Raw genomic sequence first — 27111 nt, 5'->3', positions numbered from 1 at the left:
TCTGTGGTATCATAGTACGTATAGGAATGACATTAATAAGTTAACTGGGGTAACTGCACACAACTGCTTATGACAGGAATAATAGACATAGGAGGGTTTCTGGCTGCTTCATTCTTCACCTGGCTGCCCCAAAAGTTGAGGAGAAGTTATGTAATCACAGCTATAACCTATTTAAGACACAACTTGGAGGCAGCTTTGTACCATGCTTACACACCCTTTGGCTTTCATTTGTGTTGTCTCCTTTTTTAGGAAATATTGCCCTCCACCAATTCCACGGGCTCCCCCTGCCGCATTGCTTTCATTGTTAAAATGTATACCAATCTTTCAAGGCCTGACCCTGATGTTGCCTCAAAACTTTTATCTGACTTCTTTCTCTAAAATTGTGTTTGATTTCTGTTTTCTCCATAGCATTTTATTTATATATTTTTAATAAAACTACAAATAATCTCCCTGGTATTAGGCATATCCTTGTTGCCTTCCCTTCCTTTAACTCCATAAGGTTGCAAATCTTTGATTTGCATTCTATTCACTATTTAATCTATTCACTTTTTAATCTTCTTTAGCAGACAAACAGCAGCCTGCACATAGAAACATAGAATACACTTTTTTTGAGTCGACTTGCTGGGTATCTCATAAAAGTAATGTTTTATGCCATAAATGGAAGGGAACAGTTAGATTGATAGTGTTTCTTGTCATTTCTTTTAAAAAATAAATTATTAAAATCATTAGTTAAGTGTTTCTCAAACTTTAGTGAGAATAACCTAGACAGCTTATTGAAACACAGATTTCTAGGTTCCAATCCCAGAGGTTTTTTTTTTTTTTTTTTGAGACAGAGTCTTGCTGTCACCCAGGCTGGAGTGCAGTGGCACGATCTTGGCTCAGTGCAAGCTCCCAGAGTTTTTATTCAGTAGGTGTGGGATGGTTTCCAAAATTAGCACTTCTAACAAGTTTGCATGTGATGCTGATGGTGCTGGTCAAGGGATTACGTTTTGAAAATGCTGCATTGAGCTGCAGATATGCTTGTTTGGCTTTAGGAGGTCTTGTGAAAGTATCATTTTAGAAGGATATTTTTTGAATACGCGTGACAAGGTAGAATTGTTGGGTGATATAACAAAACCAGAGGTTACATTTTCTGACTTCAGCCATTCTTTGTTAGGCTTATGCATAGGAAATACAAATGTTCCTTTGGGATTTACTCTTTTGCATTTATACTGGTATTCTCAAACTACAAATGTACAATTCTGTGCCAGAGAAGGTACTCCCTGTGCAGCATGCATCTTGGAGCCTCTTTATTTTGCTTATTATCCACTAGAAGCCAGAAGTCACCAACTCTACATTAGATTAATGTCCAAGTTCTGGAGGACAGTGGAGAGAAGGGCCAGGTTGTCTTACTCTGCTTCCATCTTGAAAATGAGTGATTACAACAAATGTCTGGTAGAGGAGAGGACAACTAAGAGCAAGAGAGACACATGTTCCTGGGGCCAAATAATTTCCTTCTTATGCCCTGTAAAGGGCATTTACCCCATAAAGAACAGCCCATTCTTAAAGACAGTGTCATTTTAATTATGTTGCTAGTTTACCAGGGCCTTATGGATGACAGTTGTGAAGCTGGCCATCATTTATAACACTGCTTCTTGGGATAATGCATTCTGATTTCCAAGTAGCTAATTTGGAAATCAACTCAGGGAACACAACCTGTCTGCAAATTGGGTACTGCTTGTACTGCAGTTTCTAGAGCATATTTGTTCTACTCATTTCCTAAAATGGCTCATTTGTATACAGCAGGGTAATAATACAAGCAGGTGCTTAGTCTGTGCAAAGAAATTGACAATTTCCTGTGGATATTGTCTGTTCACATAGGGTGGAGGCAATGATGTAAAAACCTTGTGGCAGTTGCAGATTCTCATTCTGGATCAAAGGAAGGGTAAAGGCTATGTCTGTTAGCTAACACTACAGTGTTATGAGTACACTAACACTACAGTGTTACGAGTACACTAAAGGTACTGGGTAAGTAGTGGCCTCTCTGGGATGTGTTTGGCTGGCAGGCAGGTGGAGGAGGACCCTTAGGAAGTAAGGACCAGAATAAGAGGAGTACACTGTCTATGACACACAGTGATTGTCAAAAACAGTGACCAAGAGGGTTATGAATGTTCATTTAACCAAATTTTATGTGGATATCTGCACAGCATTAACAATAATCGCTAAGTAAGTGGTTTTGAATGTGGAATGTGGTGACCTATTTTCACCAAATAGGTTCCTGAGGAAGCTGACTCTGAGCCAGAGATCGACATGCAGGATATTTATGAGGGTGAGCTCTTAGGATCAAAATCTATATTACTCAGGGTTTTCTAGAGAAATAGAAATAATGTTTTACCTGTTATCTGGGCATCCCTTAGCCCAGTCAAGTTGACACATAAAATTAACCATCACAACAGCGACAGGAAGCAGGACTGGGCTAAGCCCCCAAAGCTTCCCTCAGCCAGGGCTGTGGGGGGCTCTGAGATTGGGATGACCTCTCAGCATTTCCCTGGTTTGGGCCAATGGGACTGGCCTGTATTCTTCTGTATCCATCAGTTTTTGGATACAGGCTGCCCCCTGGGAAAGGGGTTGTGACTTTGGCTGAGGAAATTCTCAGAGAGGGCTGAGAGTGTCTGCCAGTAGCCAGACATGTATCCTTCTGTTCTGAAGGGAGGTCTGAGTGTCAAGGCAGAGCATCCATGACACCTGTTCAGGAAGCAGGAGTGTCTATGAGCAGCTGGGAATACATAGAATAGGCTCTGTCTGTAGGGGAGGATCAGAGGTCCTTAGCAGAGGTCCATGGTTGCAGGTGAATAAGCAATTACAGGGCACTGGGCACCTTAAAAGGAACTAGAATCATATAACGTGGCCTGGATTTATTGAACTTCATCAGTACATTCATCAACTCATATATAGTATTGCTAACCCATACAGTAGCCTCAAAAGTAAGTACTGTTAACTTCACTTTACAGAAGAAGGCTTAAATAGAAAAGTGCTTGCTCATGGCCAGATAGGTGATAGATGCCTGCAGCAGACTCCAACACCAAGTCTCTTTCTGAAGCTCCTGCTCTTTTGACTCTGTTCCCTGAACAGACTCTGGAAATTTAGTCACACAAATTTTCAAAGCCAGGACAAATCCAGTAGTAGCTTCAGAATGGCTGAGCACAGGCTGCAGGAAACCATCCCAGGGTGCCAGGCTTGAGGTGATATGTGTTCCTAATGATGAGTGAGCCAAGGCCCCAAGAGGAGCTTAGCCCACAGATGGGCAGAGCTGGGGAGAAGCGATGGCAGACAGTGGAGGCAAAACCTTGGTGTTTCCAGCTCAGAATGAGGTAGCCGGATGACTGAAATATAATGATTTGTTATTGGAGAATCAGGGTTGCCAATTAAACTCATACTACATTGAGCTGTGCAAAGGGCTTGTAGCTCTATTTTCTACAGAAGATATTTTATCTCCTTTGAGAACCTCTTTCTGTCTAATTAGTGAGAGGGGAATAAAATATCTAAATTTAATCATTCTGATTCAATAATTTAAATGGTCTCTTAAGGTAAATCAGTTTCTTTTAGATCAAATCCTAATCTTTCAGATTGTTACTTCCTCACTCATATTTTCTTCCCATATGATGTTGGGATGTATGGAGGTATAAGTGATTTGGCATGATTGGGTTGGGGAATAATGATGGGGCCTCCAGGAGCCATGAGCAGGTCCTGGCACTGCCTCCTCTTCTTGTGGTAGCAGTTTCCCTCATTCTACTTGTCTGCTCAGGTCAAGTGGAGTTCTCTTTGCTCATGCCTCAGTTATATCCCAGAGGACCTCCCTGAAGATTCAGCCTCAGCTTACCTTTGATGGGCTTCTGGACCTCCCTGAAATCTGCTTGCAGCTGATCTGATTCCCAACTCTGGTCATTCCAGCACCTTCCAGTGTCTGTGCCATTTGATTTTTATAGCAGATACCTCCCTTGCCATCTAGCATTATCAGCTACCTTCTGCATTGCTCCACGATGCATGTGGAAACATGAAACTATTGTCCATGCTTCTTGAGAGCTGAAGCCACCTCCAGAAAGACTCTAGTAAGGCCAAGGCCTTCCATCTCTAACCAACAGTGATGCACCACCTCTCTCATTCTGCAATGGTCACTCCTGTGCTGAGGTGAGGACAGCTTCTAAATCATCACCTCACTATCTCAGACAGAAATGTGGTCAGAGGACACCAACTTTTGGCTTGATTCCCAATCTCTTTACCTTGTTGCCTGGATTAGTCGAGGGGAGGACAGCGAGATGTTTTATCTTTTTCTTCCTCCTGCTGTCTTCCCACTGCTGCAGTGCCAAGCTCCCATGCTCCTTCTCCCATCTCATGGGAACCTGCCGTTTCCTCATAGGCCTTTCCCCTTTTCTTCTTTTTCCAGATCAATGATGATGGAATTGCTACTAGGAGGCAGGGAGAAGACTGAAAACACATCAATTTAATATTCCCAAATATTCCTTTTGTATGAGCTATGGCACACATAATGAATCATCTTTCTTTGCACCCTTTCTCAGAATCCTGTTTTTGCCGTGCAATGCAAAAAATGTACTATTTGCCTTAATTTCCCCTGACTTATGATGCCTCTGAATTAAATACTTGCCAAAGTGGAGGAAAAAGCCTTTCTAAAACTTTGCAAATAGATGAATTGCTGACTCAATAATTGAAGGAATCTCTTGGTTGCTTCATTGTGTGGTCACAGTAATAAGAAAAAGAAGTTATAGTTAAATTTCTCAGAAATTGAAATATTCATACATTGAACTATTTCTGATATAATTGTAAAGAGTACTTTTTAAAAATTTTATTATTATTATACTTTAAGTTTTAGGGTACATGTGCACAATGTGCAGGTTTGTTACATATGTATACATGTGCCATGTTGGTGTCCTGCACCTATTAACTCGTCATTTAGCATTAGGCATATCTCCTAATGCTATCCCTCCCCCCTCCCCCCACCCCACAACAGTCCCTGGAGTGTGATGTTCCCCTTCCTGTGTCCATGTGTTCTTATTGTTCAATTCCCACCAATGAGTGAGAACATGCGGTGTTTGGTTTTTTGTCCTTGCGATAGTTTGCTGAGAATGATGGTTTCCAGTTTCATCCATGTCCCTACAAAGGACATGAACTCATCATGTTTTATGGCTGCATAGTATTCCATGGTGTATATGTGCCACATTTTCTTAATCCAGTCTATCGTTGTCGGACATTTGGGTTGGTTCCAAGTCTTTGCTATTGTGAATAGTGCCGCAATAAACATACATGTGCATGTGTCTTTATAGCAGCATGATTTATAATCCTTTGGGTATATACCCAGTAATGGGATGGCTGGGTCAAATGGTATTTCTAGTTCTAGATCCCTGAGGAATCGCCACACTGACTTCCACAATGGTTGAACTAGTTTACAGTCCCACCAACAGTGTAAAAGTGTTCCTATTTCTCCACATCCTCTCCAGCACCTGTTGTTTCCTGACTTTTTACTGATCGCCATTCCAACTGGTGTGAGATAGTATCTCAGTGTGGTTTTGATTTGCATTTCTCTGATGGCCAGTGATGATGAGCATTTTTTCATGTGTTTATTGGCTGCATAAATGTCTTCTTTTGAGAAGTGTCTGTTCATGTCCTTCGCCCACTTTATGTAGGGGTTGTTTGTTTTTTTCTTGTAAATGTGTTTGAGTTCATGGTAGATTCTGGATATTAGCCCTTTGTCAGATGAGTAGGTTGCGAAAATTTTCTCCTATTTTGTAGGTTGCCTGTTCACTCTGATGGTAGTTTCTTTTGCTGTGCAGAAGCTCTTTAGTTTAATTAGATCCCATTTGTCTATTTTGGCTTTTGTTGCCATTGCTTTTGGTGTTTTAGACATGAAGTCCTTGTCCATGCCTATGTCCTGAATGGTATTGCCTAGGTTTTCTTCTAGGGTTTTTATGGTTTTAAGTCTAACATGTAAGTCTTTAACCCATCTTGAATTAATTTTTGTATAAGGTGTAAGGAAGGGATCCAGTTTCAGCTTTCTACATATGGCTAGCCAGTTTTCCCAGCACCATTTATTAAATAGGGAATCCTTTCCCCATTGCTTGTTTTTCTCAGGTTTGTCAAAGATCAGATGGTTGTAGATATGCGGCATTATTTCTGAGGGCTCTGTTCTGTTCCATTGATCTATATCTCTGTTTTGGTACCAGTACCATGCTGTTTTGGTTACTGTAGCCTTGTAGTATAGTTTGAAGTCAGGTAGCGTGATGCCGCCAGCTTTGTTCTTTTGGCTTAGGATTGACTTGGCAATGCGGGCTCTTTTTTGGTTCCATATGAGCTTTAAAGTAGTTTTTTCCAATTGTGTGAAGAAAGTCATTGGTAGCTTGATGGGGATGGCATTGAATCTGTAAATTACCTTGGGCAGTATGACCATTTTCACGATATTGATTCTTCCTACCCATGAGCATGGAATGTTCTTCTGTTTGTTTGTATCCTCTTTTATTTCATTGAGCAGTGGTTTGTAGTTCTCCTTGAAGAGGTCCTTCACATCCCTTGTAAATTGGATTCCTAGGTATTTTATTCTCTTTGAAGCAATTGTGAATGGGAGTTCACTCATGATTTGGCTCTCTGTTTGTCTATTATTGGTGTATAAGAATGCTTGTGATTTTTGTACATTGATTTTGTATCCTGAGACTTTACTGAAGTTGCTTATCAGCTTAAGGAGATTTTGGGCTGAGACAATGGGGTTTTCTAGATATACAATCATGTCATCTGCAAACAGGGACAATTTGACTTCCTCTTTTCCTAATTGAATACCCTTTATTTCCTTCTCCTGCCTAATTGCCCTGGCCAGAACTTCCAACACTATGTTGAATAGGAGTGGTGAGAGAGGGCATCCCTGTCTTGTACCAGTTCTCAAAGGGAATGCTTCCAGTTTTTGCCGATTCAGTATGATATTGGCTGGGGGTTTGTCACAGACAGCTCTTATTATTTTGAGATACATTCCATCAATACCTAATTTATTGAGAGTTTTTAGCATGAAGCGTTGTTGAATTTTGTCAAAGGCCTTTTCTGCATCTATTGAGCTAATCATGTGGTTTTTGTCTTTGGTTCTGTTTATATGCTGGATTACATTTATTGATTTTCGTATATTGAACCAGTCTTGCATCCCAGGGATGAAGCCCACTTGATCATGGTGGATAAGCTTTTTGATGTGCTGCTGGATTCAGTTTGCCAGTATCTTATTGAGGATTTTTGCATCAATGTTCATCAAAGATATTGGCCTAAAATTCTCTTTTTTGGTTGTGTCTCTGCCCGGCTTTGGTATCAGGATGATGCTGGCTTCATAAAATGAGTTAGGGAGGATTCCCTCTTTTTCTATTGATTGGAATAGTTTCAGAAGGAACGGTACCAATTCCTCCTTGTACCTCTGATAGAATTTGGCTGTGAATCCATCTGGTCCTGGACTTTTTTTGGTTGGTAAGCTATTAATTATTGCCACAATTTCAGATCCTGTTATTGGTCTATTCAGAGATTCAACTTCTTCCTGGTTTACTCTTGGGAGGGTGTATGTGTCGAGGAATTTATCCATTTCTTCTAGATTTTCTAGTTTATTTGCGTAGAGGTGTTTGTAGTATTCTCTGATGGTAGTTTGTATTTCTGTGGGATCAGTGTTGATATCCCCGTTATCATTTTTTATTGTGTCTATTTGATTCTTCTCTCTTTTCTTCTTTATTAGTCTTTCTAGCAGTCTATCAATTTTGTTGATCTTTTCAAAAAACCAGCTCCTGGATTCATTAATTTTTTGAAGGGTTTTTTGTGTCTCTATTTCCTTCAGTTCTGCTCTGATTTTAGTTATTTCTTGCCTTCTGCTAGCTTTTGAATGTGTTTGGTCTTGCTTTTCTAGTTCTTTTAATTGTGATGTTAGGGTGTCAATTTTGGATCTTTCCTGCTTTCTCTTGTGGGCATTTAGTGCTATAAATTTCCCTCTACACACTGCTTTGAATGAGTCCCAGAGATTCTGGTATGTTGTGTCTTTGTTCTCATTGGTTTCAAAGAACATCTTTATTTCTGCCTTCATTTCGTTACGTACCCAGTAGTCACTCAGGAGCAGGTTGCTCAGTTTCCATGTAGTTGAGCGGTTTTGAGTGAGTTTCTTAATCCTGAGTTCTAGTTTGATTGCACTGTGGTCTGAGAGACAGTTTGTTATAATTTCTGTTCTTTTACATTTGCTGAGGAGAGCTTTACTTCCAACTATGTGGTCAATTTTGGAATAGGTGTGGTGTCGTGCTAAGAAAAGTGTATATTCTGTTGATCTGGGGTGGAGAGTTCTGTAGATGTCTATTAGGTCTGCTTGGTGCAGAGCTGAGTTCAATTCCTGGGTATTCTTGTTAACTTTCTGTCTCATTGATCTGTCTAATGTTGACAGTGGGGTGTTAAAGTCTCCCATTATTATTGTGTGGGAGTCTAAGTCTCTTTGTAGGTCACTCAGGACTTGCTTTATGAATCTGGGTGCTCCTGTATTGGGTGCATATATATTTAGGATAGTTAGCTCTTCTTGTTGAATTGATCCCTTTACCATTATGTAATGGCCTTCTTTGTCTCTTTTGATCTTTGTTGGTTTAAAGTCTGTTTTATCAGAGACTAGGATTGCAACCCCTGCCTTTTTTTGTTTTCCATTTGCTTGGTAGATCTTCCTCCATCCCTTTATTTTGAGCCTATATGTGTCTCTGCACATGAGATGGGTTTCCTGAATACAGCACACTGATGGGTCTTGACCATTTATCCACTTTGCCACTCTGTGTCTTTTAATTGGAGCATTTAGCCCATTTACATTTAAAGTTAATATTGTTATGTGTGAATTTGGTCCTGTCATTATGATGTTAGCTGGTTATTTTGCTCGTTAGTTGATGCAGTTTTCTTCCTAGCCTTGATGGTCTTTACATTTTGGCATGTTTTTGCAGTGGCTGCTACCAGTTGTTCCTTTCTATGTTTAGTGCTTCCTTCAGGAGGTCTTTTAGGGCAGGCCTGGTGGTGACAAAATCTCTCAGCATTTGCTTGTCTGTAAAGGATTTTATTTCTCCTTCACTTATGAAGCTTAGTTTGGCTGGATATGAAATTCTGGGTTGAAAATTCTTTTCTTTAAGAATGTTGAATATTGGCCCCCACTCTCTTCTGGCTTGTAGAGTTTCTGCCAAGAGATCCGCTGTTAGTCTGATGGGCTTCCCTTTGTGGGTAACCCGACCTTTCTCTCTGGCTGCCCTTATCATTTTTTCCTTCATTTCAACTTTGGTGAATCTGACAATTATGTTTCTTGGAGTTGCTCTTCTCGAGGCATATCTTTGTGGCGTTCTCTGTATTTCCTGAATCTGAATGTTGACCTGCCTTGCTAGATTGGGGAAGTTCTCCTGGATAATATCCTGCAGAGTGTTTTCCAACTTGGTTCCATTCTCCCCGTCACTTTCAGGTACACCAATCAGATGTAGATTTGGTCTTTTCACATAGTCCCATATTTCTTGGAGGCTTTGTTCGTTTCTTTTTATTCTTTTTTCTCTAATCTTGCCTTCTCGCTTCATTTCATTCATTTCATCTTCCATCACTGATACCCTTTCTTCCAGTTGATCGCATCGGCTCCTGAGGCTTCTGCATTCTTCACATAGTTCTCAAGCCTTGGCTTTCAGCTCCATCAGCTCCTTTAAGGACTTCTCTGCATTGGTTATTCTAGTTATCCATTCGTCTAATTTTTTTTCAAAGTTTTTAACTTCTTTGCCATTGGTTTGAATTTCCTCCTGTAGCTCAGAGTAGTTTGATTGTCTGAAGCCTTCTTCTCTCAACTAGTCAAAGTCATTCTCCGTCCAGCTTTGTTCCGTTGCTGGTGAGGAGCTGTGTTCCTTTGGAGGAGGAGAGGCACTCTGCTTTTTAGAGTTTCCAGTTTTTCTGCTCTGTTTTTTCCCTGTCTTTGTGGTTTTATCTACTTTTGGTCTTTGATGGTGGTGACGTACAGATGGGTTTTTGGTGTGGATGTCCTTTCTGTTTGTTAGTTTTCCTTCTAACAGACAGGGCCCTCAGCTGCAGGTCTGTTGGAGTTTGCTAGAGGTCCACTCCAGACCCTGTTTGCCTGGGTAACAGCAGCGGTGGCTGCACAACAGCGGGTTTTCATGAACCGCGAATGCTGCTGTCTGATCGTTCCTCTGGAAGTTTTGTTTCAGAGGAGTACCCGGCCGTGTGAGGTGTCAGTCTGCCCCTACTGGGGGGTGCCTCCCAGTTAGGCTGCTCGGGGGTCAGGGGTCAGGGACCCACTTGAGGAGGCAGTCTGCCCCTTCTCAGATATCTAGCTGCGTGCTGGGAGAACCACTGCTCTCTTCAAAGCTGTCAGACAGGGACATTTAAGTCTGCAGAGGTTACTGCTGTCTTTTTGTTTGTCTGTGCCCTGCCCCCAGAGGTGGAGCCTACAGAGGCAGGCAGGCCTCCTTGAGCTGTGGTGGGTTCCACCCAGTTCGAGCTTCCCGGCTGCTTTGTTTACCTAAGCAAGCCTGGGCAATGGCGGGCGCCCTTCCCCCAGCCTCATTGCTGCCTTGCAGTTTGATCTCAGACTGCTGTGCTAGCAATGAGCAAGACTCTGTGGGCGTAGGACCCTCTGAGCCACGTGTGGGATATAATCTCCTGGTGCGCCGTTTTTTAAGCCCGTCGGAAAAGCACAGTATTAGGGTGGGAGTGACCCGATTTTCCAGGTGCCGTCTGTCACCCCTTTCTTTGACTAGGAAAGGGAACTCCCTGACCCCTTGCGCTTCCCGAGTGAGGCAATGCCTCGCCCTGCTTCGGCTCGCACACAGTGCACTGCACCCACTGTCCTGCGCCGACTGTCTGGCACTCCCTAGTGAGATGAACCCGGTACCTCAGATGGAAATGCAGAAATCACCCGTCTTCTGCATTGCTCACGCTGGGAGCTGTAGACCGAAGCTGTTCCTATTCGGCCATCTTGGCTCCCTCAACCAATTGTAAAGAGTACTTTTAAGCCTGTGGTGTAAGATCAGAATCTAAGAGGTCAAATGAGCAATTTAAAATAATTAATATTAATGACTTTTTTAGTCATTCAATTTCCTTTAAGACCTCATCAGTAGGTAGTTTACTTTCATCCCCTACTAAGAGACCATTTCTAACATTTGACAGTGTAACTTTGTTTTTTTTACAAATTTAGTATTCTGAAGTGCTGTGTAGTTGACAGTCTTCTACTCAGTGTGTCCTCCCAAAACAGCAGACCTGGTGTTACCTAGAGCCTGTTAGAAATGCAGAATCTTTGGCTCACTCCAAACCTACTCAATCAGAAGCTGCATTTTAACAAGATCCCCAGGTGACTTGTATGCACATTAAAGTATGAGAAGCACTAGTCAGCGACGCTGGAGAAAACCCTGCAAAGAGGCATTATTAAATTCACTCAGTGTGTTTTTATAAACCATTTATAACAAATAATAAAATGAAGTGGAAGTAAATCATCCCTTTGCACTCTGGTTCTTATAATATTATTTTTCAAATCTGTGCTCACTTCCTTCCCCTAATTAAAAAAAGAGACAGCTGTTCACTCTGTGCACCTGTGTTAACCCGGGTCCAGGCTCAGTTAGGTTTCTGCAGCAGTCAAGCCAGCTAAGCACAGCTGTGGCATAGCTTCAAATCAGCAGTTCTTCAGGCCACCTGTTACAACAAACTACATTAAAACACTCCCAAGCAATCTTGTCTCCAATTCCTTCCTCCCCTAGCCCCCAGTAGTATGCCATAGTAATTGAAAGCAATATAAATTACTTGTCAAAAGTAAATCTCTATGAAGAAAAGCAGCTGTGTTATATTGAAAGGACCTAATTTCACTAAATAGTTCCCTTCCTCCACATCAGTTAAAACCACAGGAGAGAGGGGTGGGATGATGGGTTATAAAATACCCTGAAATCCCACCAGAAGAGGCCTCTACAGCCAAAGCAAAATGAGGATCTAAACAAGAATCTTGCTAATGTAGCCAAGCCCAGAACTGCCGGGATAATTGAGGATAAGAGTTGCTTTGTTCTCCCTTCCCACTCCCTGCTATTTTCTCCTTCTCAACCCCCCATTTAGCTTTACCCTCAGCGATTACTCTACCTTTTTAGCATTCCAAGAATACCTCTAAGCATCTACCTCTTTCTGTGTACACCCACCGTTTCCTGCTCAATAGTCTCTTTTGTTTCTTGGTTAACTCAGTAGCAAGGCTATTGAGTCCTGGCTTAAAGCTCACATCTTCAAAGACAGGGGACCAGAACCATAAATGGGCACACTGAATAGCATGCAGCAGAGGTTTAGGAAGAAAAAGGACAATGAGGTCACAGAATCCAGTGCACCTCATGATAAGTGGCAGCTTTTGGCTTTGATTAGGGAGGTCCAGCAATTATAAATAAAGATGATCACATTAGTTATATTGGAACGCCTACATCATGTTCATTTATTCATTACAGAGCTTTGAGGGAGGAATTATTATCATCACCATCATCACCGCTTTAGAAAACCAAAGCTCTAAGAGATTTTAGAAAATTTCCAGTTAGTAAACTGTTGTATTAGAATTAACACCTAAATCACTGCTCTTGTTACAACAGCCTGCTTCCCTTCTGGGTGTCTCAGCAGATGGGCACAGCATGAATACAGACATGTCTGGCAACAAGGTGATATGTGGATTTGCAGCCAGGTAGTCATATGGTGGGTATTAGGAAAGTCTGCCTGGAAGTAACAGAACATCTGCTGTGGGCCTAGGGTTCAGGGGCAGGACTTGAATGCTGAAAGTAAAACCAAAACTAAGTAGGGTCTACTCTTAGGAGAATTGGGGTTCCTGACAGTTGTCAATTGTGGACCCTCAATTCAAGTAGAAGTAGTCATCTGGAATACAATGTGGGGACTGAGTTCTAGCAGGCAGTGACTAAGAACTAGGGACAGCAATGGAGGAAAAGAAGGAAACAAGGAAGTAGGAAAAACATCCCATTTTCACTTGAGACACGGACCTGTTGAAACCTGCCCAGTTGTCCCATAGAACTGATGTTTATGGGTTTTTTTTTGAATAAACATAGAAATGGACTTTCCCAGTCTTAAAACTTGATAAAATTATCTTTGTCTTATCTGAGTTCCTTCTTGAGGAAACCAGCCCTCAGGCCTCCCAGATGGTATCAAGGAACTGAAACTCACCAGACCACCACATCCAGATAATGAGAAATCAGACCCTTTATCCCTCATGATATCCTTACCCCACCCTAATTTCTGTTAACCTGCATGTGATTGCCATTCTTCCCTGCTATATAAACCCCTAATTCTAGTTGGTTGAAGAAATGGATTTGAGACTGATCTCCCATCTCCTTGGCTGCAGTATCCAAATAAAGTCTTCTTCCTTGGCAATACTCATTTTGTCTCAGTGATTGGTTGTCTGTGTGGTGAGCAACAAGACCTAGATGGAACCCCTGGGTGTTTCAGTAACACTATGAATGGAGTGAATTGCGGAATTCCCTCTACTAAGCATAGATCTGGTCCTAGAGACTGGGTTGTAGTGGAGTGTGAAGGTGGAGATGAAAACAAAGATGGAAAAGACATTTTCTGGGGCTTTCTTTTGTGGTACTAGAGATTTAAGTGGAAATTACAAAGAGTCTGACTTAAGCTAATTGTAAAAGGAATCCTCTAAGAATCCGGACTCCAAGTTTAAGACCAGCCTGAGCAACATAGCAAGACCCTGTCTCTATAAAAAATAAAAACAAACAAACAAACAAAAAATCTGGACTCCAAGGTGGAATAGAATGCTGTATGAAGGCATTATGTTTCTGTCCCCAGAACTTACAAAAACATTTCTGTGCTTACTAGGCATTTAATGATTTCTGTCACACTTCTGATAACGATCTAAACTTTTACTGTGGCCCTGAAGCCCTATCTAATGTGTCTCCTGTCTAGCTCTCTGACCTCCTGTCTATCAATTTCTCTATACTCACTATTCTCTGTCAGGGCTGCTTGACGGAGGTGCTGGTATTTTGGTTGGGAAAATTCCTTCTGGAGCTTTTTCAAATACTGCTAGATATTTAGCATCCCTTGCCCCTGTTCACAAAATACCAGCAACACCCCCTTGCTATCACGTGCCCCCACACACTTCTAATGCTCCAGGGGAGACTTGATCTGTGGCTCCCTGGCATCCCTTCACTTTAATATGTGAAGCTCATTCCTGTCTCAGGGCTATCACACTGGCTTTGAATCTTGTTCCCATGATATTTCATATTCTCATTTTTCAGTCTACATACCATTTCCTCTAAGGGCATCTCCCAGCCCTCGTTCAGAGCATTTATCATGATCCAAAATGACTTTCTTTGACTTTTCCTCTTTGTCCTTTTTCTTCCCCTCACTAGAATGAAATCCTATGAGAAGGAAGTTGTGTACTTCACGTTCACCACTGTACATTGACACACAGAAGACTGCTTCATGTGTGATAGATCCTCAGATGTTTTTTGAATTTTATGAATTAAGGAAATGGAATTTTGAATACTACGAATAAAGGGATAGATGATCACTTTCCAAGATTGTATAGAGGAGGTTTCTGCATTAGGTAGAAAACTGTATTCCATATCAATGTAAGACTCAACTGTTCTTTTCTGTAGTTTCTAGAGCGTTTGAAGGAGAAAGAATTTTGCTCACTGAGCTTCTAATAAATTTTAGTGGAACACATACATTCAAACCATAGCATCTCTCAAGTTCATGTTGAAAAAATGATTTTAAAAGAAAAATCAGTTAGAAAAGCCAGGTACCTTTTCTAAAGGTCAGACGTATTTTCAAATTAAAGCAAAATGGCCAAGATTAACCCCTAACCCCAACCTTAAAAAGTTAACCAGGTTTGTTCTCCTCGTGAATGTATTCTCACGGGATGATGCTAATGACACTTAGCCTCTGGGGCCCCTCACTTACCCAAGGCCCAGAGAGAGTCCTTTATGGTATTCATAATATTTATTCTTTTTTTAAAAAAAGAGAAGCCCAAAACTGTATAAGCCTCAGGCTCCACAAAATCTGTATCTACCTCTATATATACTATTAAAGTAGACATAACTCCCTCTTGGTTATTGCAACCCAGGAAAAAAGAAATGGACAGTGGCAGTGGGGGTGGGGGGTGGTGGAGGTGCTTGTTTCTATTTTCAAAGACTGTTATTTAAAATGAACAAATGATGGAAATATCCATGCCTGAAAGTAAGGTGATCAAATGAACACACCTAAGTGCTAAAAGAATGGAATATTTTAAAGAACTAGCTGCTGTGGAAGCTGGTACAACATAAATTATATATACAGATAAACTGAACATATTTTATGGCTTTTAATGTGGATATGTGGCAAATTCCCTCTTCTTCATATTTTCCTCCTTTGAGGGTGACTTTAAGGATTGTAGAAGCTTTTTTTTTCTTTTTTCTTGGAAAGATGTAATAAGGACTTATGAACAGAAGACATGTCTGTGTGCCAGGCAGCTGTGAGACAAAATCGTGGATCTCCGCACTGTAAACCCCCAGACCCAGGACTTACATAACCTAGGGAAATGTTGTTTCAGAAGGGATGTGTAGGACAGTTGAAGTACAAGAACATCAAGGTCATTTCACCCAAGGGCAGAATTTATGGTAAGTACCTACTCTTACACAAGGAACAAGAGATAAACTGGAAATTTTAGAGGTCTTCCTGGAACTGGGGTTAATCAGAAGTCAATATGGTAGATTAGCATCCAAGATGGAGTGGCTTTGGCTTCCACACTCCATCCCCTAATTCAGCTCTTACAGTTTCATCTGCCTTCCTCTTCTGTGATGGTCCCTGAGCCTTTAGGGAAGATGCTTGATATGGTATAGGTTTAGCAGTAGTATGTTGGCAATGGAAAACAGAGCAGGCCAACTGAGATTCCAAATGAGGGAGATTCCCAGGCTTTGTTGAATCATCTCCAGTTTTTGAAATACTGTGACTTCAGTTTTCTCAGAAGAAGTAAAACAACGAGAGAGATATTAATAATTTGAGTAGTAGAATTATAATGCATACCAGGATTAAAATCAAAAGAGAATTTGAGGCCAGGTGTGGTGGCTCATGTCTGTAATTCCAGCACTTTGGGAGGCCGAGGTGTGCGGATCACTTAAGGCCAGGAGTTTGAGACCAGCTTGGCCAACATGGCGAGACCCCATCTCTAATAAAAATGCCAAAAATTAGCTGAGCATGGTGGTACACACATGTAATCCCAGCTCCTTGGTAAGTTGAGGCATGAGAATTTCTTCAACCCAGGAGGTGGAGGTTGCAGTGAGCTGAGATTGTGCCACTGCATTCCAGCCTGGGCAACAGAGTGAGACTCTGTCTCAAAAAAAAAAAAAAAAAAAAAAAAAAAAAAAAAAAGAATTAGAATGCCAGAAAAACAAAAACACAAAAGAACCTATTCCATTAAGAAGCCAACTAAAGGCATCGTGAAGAAAATTAAAATCCAGTTCTTCTTTAGAGATTTGTTGCAGTCAAAAAATAATTCAGGATTAGCTCAAATTTTAGGCAACTGATAACTCCAAAACAATGATTAGGGCTAGCATCTAAGTTTTTCTCTCTATAGTTTCCCCATTTCTACCAAGGATAAACCATATTAGGACAAATTTATTTTCACAATAAATTTTAGTTTTATTATACTTGGCCTGATTATTTGTGTAAAGTGTAGCAAGAATACTGATGGGCCACATAGGCTCTTTTTAAGTTGGCTTTGCTGGAACTCTTATAAGAAATTTCAGATTTGACTTTTTAAAAGCCTCAAGGCAAGAAGCCAAGCCAAGGATTTGCCATCAAACTGTGCTTGTAATGCCTCTCTTCTCAAGGTCCCAAAATATCTTGAGGTTCCTGAGCCTGTTAGAAAGTGACATTCTTTTTTTTCTTTGAGACAGAGTCTTGCTCTGTTGCCCAGGTTGGAGTGTAGTGGCGTGATCTTGGCTCACTGCACCCTCTGCCTCCCTGGTTCAAGTGGTTCTCCTGCCTCAGCCTCCTGAGTAGCTGGGATTACAGGCGCCTGCCCCTACACCTGGCTAATTTTTGTATTTTTAGTAGAGATGGGGTTTCACCATGCTGGCCAGGCTGGTCTTAAACTCCTGACCTCAAATGATCTGCCTGTCTTGGCCTCCCAAAGTGTTGGGATTACAGGCGTGAGCCACCACGCCCAGCCAGAAAGTGACATTCTTTACTTACCACAGATCAGGAACCTTGTAATGGAACAATTTAAACAAGATACCAGGCTAGTCTTTCCAAGGGGCTTTTTATTGGCTCTATAAAGTTGACTTCAATTCCTAAAAGCAATCTGATAATATCTGAAAATATGCTATTCCAGTCAAAGCCTTGGAAAAATAACCAGTGTCTCCAATTGTGTTCCATTATAAAAGAAAACACATTCTTACTGAATTTATGCAAATAACTAGATTGCCACAAAATAAGAATACTCCTGAATAGTTTCCAAATTTTGGAGAACTCAGGTAGAGAAAAAGGTAAATTTTGCTCTTTTTGAGTATTTGAAAAAATACTCAACTTCTTGGTACAATAAAAACTTCAGCTGAATTAAATTAGTGTTTAATTGAACAATGAAAGATTTGCGAATCAGGCAGCCCCCAGAATCACAGCAGTTTCAGAGAGACTCCAGGGATACCTCGTGGTCAGAACAAATTTATAGACAAAAAAAAAGGGAAGTGATGTACAGAAATCAGAAGTGAGGTACCAAAACAATTGGATTGGTTACAGCTCTGCAGTTGCCTTATTTGAACACAACTGGAACACTCAGCAGTGTGTGCGTGGTTGAATTACGGCTGCTGGGATTGGCCAAGACTCAGTGACTGTTACAGGTGCATACTCCTAAGTTAGGTTTTCAATCTTGTCTACCTATTAAGCTAGGTTGCAGTTCATCCATAAGGACTCAAATATAGAAGTATGGAGTGCTTCTCAGGCCATATCTAGTTTGCTTTAACATTCTCTAAGCTATAAATAGCTCAAAAGAAAGAAAGATTTCCTTGATTCTTCGTCATTTGGAGTAGCAGCCTTCCAAACAGAATGTTGTCCATTCACCTGGGAACTGCCATCCACAAATCAAGCAGCTCTTTGTCAGTCAAGTGAGACCTGTTTATCAGGCACTGTGGAATCCAGTGGCTCCTCACACAGTTCCACAGTTAGTCCTGTGGAAAAGGCTTTCTGCTTATGACTGTCACTTCCTTGCACTTCCCAGGTAGCAAGATCTTATAAACCACTTGCATTTTCTCATGGAACTCTTTTGGCCATTGCTATCCCCATTAGCACAGGAGTAGCTTCATTTAATGTCCCATAGCAAGGCAGTAAATGCCCCCCAAGTGGAAATTCTCTAGTCCAAAGTGCCAGTAGTCATTGTTGAGAGGGGCTCACAAACTTCTGCCATAAGCCCCAGTAAATGCTCCACAAACAGCTATTTGGTGGAGAATTCATTTTGACCAACACTCCAGCTTCTACTCTACACTCTGTAGGCTCAGGCAGTCTTAATTCCCATTTAGCATGTCCAATTAATATTGCTCAAAGGGAAGATTGACATGCCTTCTTTGTTTACAGTACTAGGTAGGGGAAGCGTTCCCTGGTTAGATACAGCATCTGTTTTCATAAAAGGTTTAGTTAAAGAATACCCAACTACTTTACATAAAGCCTGTTTAAACATTTCAACTTTTATCAACCCTAAATTTTTATCTTCTGTTTCCAGGAACTTCTCTTTTCCACTCCCATTTTACCCTCTGATGAAAAAGGATTTGGGTTCCCAGCAAGGGATTGAGCTAGGGAACTCAGGCCCTTTTGTCAATCTTTGTTTTGATTTACCTGCCTCAACACTGGCCCAGGTAGTTGTTGGTCAGCTTTCTTACTGTAACCTTTGCCTTCTGATTTTTTTTTTTTTAAATATTTCTCCAATCTGGGGTAAACATAGAAAATTGGTTTGAGGCTCTCTAATATTGGGGGCCCAGCAGGGGCTCTCTTTGGTCCACTCAACCTTTGATAGTGTGTTAAGGTCTTTGTTTTACCTCATAAATTTCCATTTATTTCATTCCATTTCTTAATAACCAACTAAAGATTCCCAACCTGCTGGGATGGGTCCCATGACCCTCCCCTTCTTTTTTCTCTTAGTTTTACCCCTATCAACTTTTTTTTTTTAAAAAAAACCTTACTTTTTAATAAGCAGTTAAAATGTTTCACCTTCCTAGGATGAGTCCTTGGATTATATATTTATATTTTGCTTTTCCCCATGCTGTTGTTAATTATCCTAATGTTTTTATTAGTGTCTGTAAAACAGATGAGGGGAAGTTAAACCAGCACATTTGATACAGCTTCCTTAACTGTCTTTCAGTTTGTAGCAGCAATGGTGTGCCCGTGCAGGAGGGGACCCCTTAACTACAGTACTTGACATGACCTGGGTAAAGGGCATATTCAGCAGGTGAATATCCTTGTCATCATAAAGCCAGTTCCACCTGGCTTGCATACAAAGCATATCAGTTGCTTCATCTAGGGTGCTCAATTGGGCATTTATAGGGAAAGTTGGGAAATCCCCCTTCTCAGGATACACAGACCTTACAAATGTCTTTTACCCAGTCCATCAGGCCAGCTATTGCCTCTGGAGTAGCCTCCTGTGTCTGGATTATTTATAGCCACCTGTGATTGTCCAATAGTGAACTGTGGGTCCTGCATCAACCCAAACAGGCTCTTCTACTCTGCAGCATTTAAAACCAAAGATACGGCCCCTAAATTATTACTCTCACAATCCATTTCAGTTCCTTAGGAAGCGGATAATACCGATCTTCAAAATAGACCAGTTCTTTCACATTATACCTTCTGGTTTCAGTCGTTACTTGGTTTTGCCCTTCCCTCACATGAAATATCAGATACTCACATACATACACATTATATACACATGACATGTTGTTTTCAACTGAGCTTTTTTTTCTTCTTTCTTTGTGTTTTTTGTTTTTGTTTTGTTTTTGTTTTTTTTTTCAGAGATGGGGTCTCGCTCTGTCACCCAGGCTACAGTGCAGTGGTGTAATCATGGTTCACTGTAGCCTTGAAGTCCTGAGTACTTTCATGGTAACCATAGGTCTCAGAGGTACTTTCTTTTGTCCCTGCCATAATTTTCCCCTTCATGGGTAGTTTTGAGGCTAGGAGCCAGAGCTCAGACAGACTCACATCTGAGCTTGGTTCAGCCTCAAGACCCAACCCAGTGCTCTCTTTTAATTTCATTTCAGCTATTAGAGATAACAATAACAGGAATTAAATATTTCACTTTCTGCTTCTTTGTGTGCCTTTCCTAATGCAGTCAGAGAACCAGCTTCCCAGAGTTTGATCCATCCCTGAATTCTTCTGCTAACTTTTACCTTTAGTAACTGAATGCCGCACAGCTGCTGCGCCATACCGGGGTGACCATGTGGCCAGCTAGGAATCAAAAGCTCCTCATTCTCCATATCATATCATTTCTCCTTCTTTTTGAAACAACCTTTAAATAAACTCTAAACTAGGCAAAATTATTTTTCCTTTAAGCCAAAACCATACATCTGTGTTCCTTTATAACCTTCTTTACCAAAGCACATCTTTCTTTATACATTCTGTATATAGAATTATATCTAGTAGTTTTAATTACATGGATTAACTACTATTTTAACTCTTAGTAACCCCAATTTCCAGTGAATAACCTATGACTATTTAATATAATATGACTTTAAGATTTTAAGTTACTGAAAAACATTTGGAAACTAGTTTCATTTACCAAAGATTACTAAAGTCACAGCAGCTAAAAGCCATTTCTATTTTTTTCTGAGTTCTTTCATATATTTTGGCAGTGAAATATCACATGCATATGACACATCTTATTTTCAGTTTAGTTTCTTTTTTCTTTTTTTGTTTTGTTTTGTTTTCTGAGATAAGGTCTTGCTCTGTCACCCACGCTGTAGTGCAGTGGTGTGATCATAGCTCACTATAGCCTTGAACTTAGTTAAGTGATCCTCCCACCCCAGCCTCCTGAATAGCTGGCACTACAGGCACGCACCACTAAGCCCAGTTAATTTTTACATTTTGTGTAGAGATGTGGTCTCATTTTGTTCCTCAGGGTGGTCTTGAATTCTTGACTTCTAGCAATCTTCCTGCCTTGGCCTCCCAAATTGCTGGGATTACAGGCGTGAGCCACTGCGTCTGGCCAGTTTGTTTCTTAATTCAATTACTGACTTTAGAGTGGAGCCCTTTAAGGAAAAGGGCTAAAAAAGTATGCAGTTTTTTAGGGCCTAATATTTATTGGAAGGCAGAACACTCACATCCCCGCAAAAGCCAAAGAAATCAGATAACACAATACAAAAGAGAGAAGAGTTTTAGACCTGGAAAGAATGTCTGCTATGCAACTCTTGGGGTTCCATTAAGAAAAACAGAGGCTCCTCGCAAAAAGGAGTCTGTGGTGCGTTTTCTGTTTTCTCCCAAGGGAGTCTAGGCTGTCAGAAATTCCTTTTTTTTTAGGTCTTTTATGTGGCATTGAGAGTGGCAAGAAAAAAGAGGGACAGGCAGAAGCAAATGGAGAAACAGAATTCAGTTGACAGAGTTTAACAGAGAAAAAACAGAGGCCTTATAACAACACGTGTATACCTATATACCCCAAATACTAGTTTTCACTAAGTTATACATATATACCCCAAATACCAGTTTTCACTAAGTTGACTTTTGACTATAGAGCTCTTAAAAAAAAATCTTTTTTTTTTTTTGAGCCGGAATCTCACTCTGTCGCCCAGGCTGGAATGCAATGGCGTGATCTCAGCTCACTGCAAGCTCCCCCTCCTGGGTTCACGCCATTCTCCTGCCTCAGCCTCCCGAGTAGCTGGGACTACTGGCGCCTGCCGCCACGCCCCGCTAATTTTTTGTATTTTTAGTAGAGACGGGGTTTCACCGTGTCAGCCAGGGTGATCTCGATCTCCTGACCTCGTGATCTGCCCGCCTCGGCCTCCCAAAGTGCTGGGATTACAGGCGTCAGCCACAGCGCCCGGCCAAAAAAAATTTTTTCCTAGTTGTAATTCCTACTCAAACCGTTTTACTTTTGCTTCTGATGCTAGCAGGGCTCTCATTGTCAAAAGAGCACCTCACAGAAGCAGCCATCCACTGCAGCAGCTGCCCTTCCTTAGTGCATGTGATGGACAGCTTTCCGCTGACAGTCGCTCTAAACGTGCCTATGTTTTTGACGTGTCCCGTACTCATGCGTAAGTGTCTGAAAGGTGAGTCACACCATTCCAGGAAGTGACAGCCACCTAGGACCTCCCCCATGGATGCTTCATTCCCTTTGCTCATTTCTTGGTCTTTCAGCTCCTGATCTGGCTCCCCACATGTTTCGTGGTAGCCAGGTCTATGCAAACCTACCCCCAAGTCCATGGCAGCTGACAGGCTAAAGAAAGAGGATGACAAATCCAGTTTCTTAGAAAGAAACATTTAATAGAGACTCACGAACGGAAGCCATGTCTGTGTCCTGGATGGTGGCTAGACAAGATGGCGGATCCCCACTGCAAAAGTTTCTCTAAGTTTCAAAAGGTCAAGGCCTAGATCAGCACTAGCAAAAGCAGCAGGAACAACTTTAGTGAAATCACTAAGACAGAATTCGCACAAGGAACTCAATGTCTGTACAAGTGAGTAACCTCTAAAATAGCAGTCCATAAGGGTAGGGTTGGGGGTGGTGGTCAGAGGTTCTCTTTGAGATTCTGAACGCTTTATGGATGCTTCATCCAGGAAAAGGCATAATCAAATTTTGCATATGACTTTGGGGCTTGTTAGACTCCTCTGGCAGTCCATCCATGGTATGAAACTTGGCTACCCTTTGATTTGTCACTCAGCCCTCCATTTACTCAGCTCCACTCACACTTAGATGATTATATATTATACATTATATTGTATTCCTTGATTTCAATAGAATATTATCTAGCAGACATACTAATATTTTGGTTATTTACTATATATGAAAGACACAACTTCTTTCTTTTCTTTTTTTTTTTTTTGAGGCGGAGTTTTGCTCTTGTTGCCCAGGCTGGAGTGCAGGGGCATGATCTCAGCTCACTACAACCTCTGCCTCCTGGGTTCAAGCGATTCTCCTGCCTCAGCCTCCCAAGTAGCTGGGATTGCAGGCTCCCACCACCATGCCTGGCTAATTTTAAAAATATTTTTAGTAGAGACGGGGTTTCACAATATTGGCCAGGCTAGTCTCGAACTCCTGACCTCTGGTGGTCCACCCACCTTGGCCTCCCAAAGTGCTGGGATTACAGGTGTGAGCCACTGCACCCAGCTGACACAACTTCTTTCTAAATAATCTTTATGCAACTTATAAGTTATAATCCTTATTATCCTGACTTACGAGTATGACCCAATCTTTGAATTTAGTTTCTTTGTTTACTCGTCAAATAATCTCTCATTTTTAATTGTAAGAAATTAGTTCTGTAACATAAGTGAGCCTGAAAGAAAGAGAACAGGCTCCGATAATGGAGTAGTTTTTATCAGACTTATCTTCCCAGTAGTCCCACACTGTCCCACTCACACACAGTCACACTCAGTGCCTTCCCAGGGGCAGCCCATAGCAGAATAGGATGCACACTACTCTGGGATGGAAGGAAAGGCAAGACTTCAAGGACTGGGCTGCCTAGCCAAACCTCTTTGGTGTGTTGCATGAAATTTTTGAAGTTTTTATGGATATTGGAGGCAAGAAGAGATACAATAAGAAGCTCAATTAACTAAATGACTTTTTTATCAAAACTTCATCTCACCCTAAATGGGCTTTCAGTCATCTCCCTAGTCTCACAAGTGAGCACTGAGGGATCCTTGCCCTGGAATTAGTCAGTTCTCTATGAATAGGCATTTAAGAACATTTCTCTCTGTAGCTAGAATGTCAGGTCAGCTACCTGGGCATTTACTTGGTTTCTGTCCTGATAGAGCCCAAGTGCTTATGTGATAACCTAATTCTCTCACCTTGTCCTCCTGTTCTTATGATATTTAAAAAGTCTTTTCCTTGACTTATTCTTCAATAATTGTGTCATTTTGGTTCCTGCCAGGTTAGCGGCTTCCTTGCTTTCGATTCTGACTTCATTGTGTCCCCTAATCCCTAAATGCCTTCTTGATTTCAGCCCACTTCCTTTCTGACCTCCAGTGGCACTGGCGTGTGTACAGACACACTGAGTTCCATTTACATGTGCCTAGGACTGTGCACTCACTTAGCCTCACACTCATCCACACTCACATCCCCACTTTCCCACAATCACTCACACTCAGTGTCCTCCATTTACTCAGCCCCACTCACTCTCGCCCAACCGTACACACTTGTTCCATTCACTCACACTCCTGGTCGTTCCCTTCACACTCACACTCCTTCACATTCATGACCAGCCACCCCACTGGCCTCCATTTAGTACTACTCGGTCTCACCCAGCCCTACCCATATGCACACCAGAGTCAGCTCACTCACAGTCGCACAGTCAGTCCCTCAAATGCAGTCACTCCCTCAGGAACTCCTTCCCTCTCACTCAGGTACAATGTCTCATTCATCCTCAGTGCCCTTCACACACTTCATATACACACTGGGCATGTGTCACACCCACTCACACAAACTTCAGGCACAGCCAGTCCTACCCACACTTATTCACGCTTATTTCACTCATGCCCAGCCCCACCCACTCACACCTAGTCACACTCACATGTGGTCCCAAACAGTTCCAGTATACCTAGACTCACACAGTCCTACTCATACCTAGTCACACTCAGTCACGCTCACACATGGTCCCGCACAGTTCCAATACACCTAGCCTCACACAGTCCTATGCATACCTAGTCACACTCAGTCACATGCATACATGGTCCCACCCACTCACACTCACACCTAGTCACACTCACATATGGTCCCACACCGTTCCAATACACCTGGTTTCACACAGTCCTTCTGACACCTAGTCACACTCAGTCACACTCACACATGGTCCCACACAATCACACTCACACTAGTCATACTCTATTCTACTACCTCTCAGAGAATTCCACTCTATTCTACTCTCTCGGTGTCATTTGTCCCCTCAGGAGGATGCAGCATTCAAGGTTCTATCTTGGAAGCAGAGACTGTGCCCTCACCAGATGCTGAACCTGCTGAGCACCCTGATCTTCCACTTCACCTTCATCAGAACTGTGAGAATTAACTTTCTATTATTTATAAATTACTCAGTCTAAGATATTTTGTTATAGCAGCAGGATCAGATTGAGACAAGGAATTTATACCAATTTAGACTATGCATGAATCCACAAGAATCCAAGTGGCACAAGAATCTAGCACCAAAATGGCAGCTCAGGGAAAGCTGATTCAGTTTAACGTTCAAAAGAAGAGGCAAAACTAATTCTAGAAACTTGTTCCCTTGAGATGCTCGGAGACGTGCCCTGGTTTAGAAAGAAAATACAGAATGGAAGCTTTGCTCTAAAAGACAGGTTCTTGCATTAGAAAAAGGGTTACTTCGGACTCACTGGCTCTAAATAAATTAGTCAGGAGAAAACTAATGAATGTTACCATGGAATTATCCATAGGACTTAACCTTCTCAAAATAGTTGTGAGTGGGATGAAAGAGCAACAATGAGTTAACCAGAGACACTGGAAGGTGTTAATTAGAAAAAAAATATATCGTATAGAAACAAATGTTGGTACAAGCATACAAGTAAAATTTTCAACTGTGTCATTAATACTTTCATTGTATAATTAATTTCTAGGGTGCTAAGAATTCTGAATTTATTGAGGAAATAAATGTCTGATTGCAACAAAAGAAAACTTGTCTGGCTTTGGGAAGGAAGAGGCTTAGGAAAAAAATTAAAGGCGTCTTTACTAGAAGTTCAAGGTGAAAACACTGCATTTTTTCTAGTACTTCACTACGTAATCTAAAGAAGTCTGGAAAGGAGCCAATGCATTAAAAATATAGCTAGAGGAAACCGTTCAGGGAGAAGACTTGTGGCAGTAGCAGTCTGTGCAAACATTCTCTTTCTCTTTCTGTCTTTCCAAGCAAAAATTAAACCTTGATTATCCCTTTATAAAAATAGGGTACTCATTTCCCAGTGAAATGTGGGAACTGCTTCTCTTTAGCAGCATAGTACCCAATTATTCTTACAGAAAATAATTTTATGTAATTTAAAAAATATACTGTCTTCTTGGTATGATTGTTCTTTTTGTGTGTACAGATAACCGCATTTAAAGAAATATTTAAAACTCTATCTTGGATTTCTTGAAGGTTTCTGGTTTGATTAGGCCATCTGAGTAGATAAATAACGAAATGATGCTAATGTGTTGACACAAGAAACAATGTTCAAAGGTAGACACCACCCAGGTGACATTTCTCATTGCTACACATATGTATATACGTGTGTATGTGTGTGCATATTTACATACCTTTGGGAAGATACAGGTGTAGCCAGAATGCTCTCACATGGTCGTCATTATCAAAATTCTCCCAATATATCCATCTCTTCACTTTTTGAGGTCATGGTCGGATTGAATTCCATGATTTCATGGTTCTATTGTATCTGTGTGGGAACCATGTGACTAGTTTTAAGAAAATATTATGAGCAAAGGTGACTTTGGTTACTCTCTGGTTAATTGCAAGTCTCTCTGGGGCACCCTTTAACTCTGTGATGTTTGAATGGTGACTGCTTTATGAGCCTGAGTCTCTGAATAAGTAAAAGGAGCAGAATCCCCTGTTAACCTGTTATGGACATGAGTAAGAAAGAAATCTTTCTTGTTTGAGTCATCAAAACTATGGGATTGTTTGTTATTGCAGCATACCGTAGCCCTATTCAGACTTCTATAATCTGATAGTAAGGGCAGATTTGGGGACAATTTACCAAAATCAGAATTATAATTCTGGTGACTCAGTTTGGGAAAAGAAATTCCATTTGACATCCAGAGATTCCATCTCCAGAAATCAAGAGCAATTGCTTCGATTTTTACAGATTCCTATTTGTTTTTGGACTAGACTCCAAAGAATTTGTTGTACTGTATAATTTTTAAGAAACTTAGGCTGAATAAATCACCTGAAAAATTCATTTTTGCCTGTAGAGCTGCTC

General features: G+C 41.2%; 1 long non-coding RNA gene across 1 annotated transcript in view, besides 1 other annotated feature; it reads left to right on the top strand.

Annotated features, from left to right (window-relative positions):
- LINC00882 (long intergenic non-protein coding RNA 882) overlaps positions 1-27111 on the top strand; it is a 130849-nt gene that overhangs the window by 85554 nt on the left and 18184 nt on the right. Inside the window, exon 2 of the long non-coding RNA NR_028303.1 lies at positions 25093-25197. This is a non-coding gene — a long non-coding RNA (long intergenic non-protein coding RNA 882). The remainder of the gene's footprint in view (positions 1-25092; positions 25198-27111) is intronic.
- Positions 11796-12335: an enhancer, noted in NCBI's record as "NANOG hESC enhancer chr3:106861597-106862136 (GRCh37/hg19 assembly coordinates)". NCBI's record gives its function as "activates a minimal SCP1, AML or CMV promoter by ChIP-STARR-seq in primed H9 embryonic stem cells {active_cell/tissue: H9 hESC(primed)}" and the evidence as "EXISTENCE:reporter gene assay evidence [ECO:0000049][PMID:30033119]".

This window comes from Homo sapiens, chromosome 3 (genome assembly GCF_000001405.40).
Source record: "Homo sapiens chromosome 3, GRCh38.p14 Primary Assembly".
NCBI lineage: Eukaryota > Metazoa > Chordata > Mammalia > Primates > Hominidae > Homo > Homo sapiens.
This window is presented reverse-complemented; position numbering and strand designations above follow the sequence as displayed.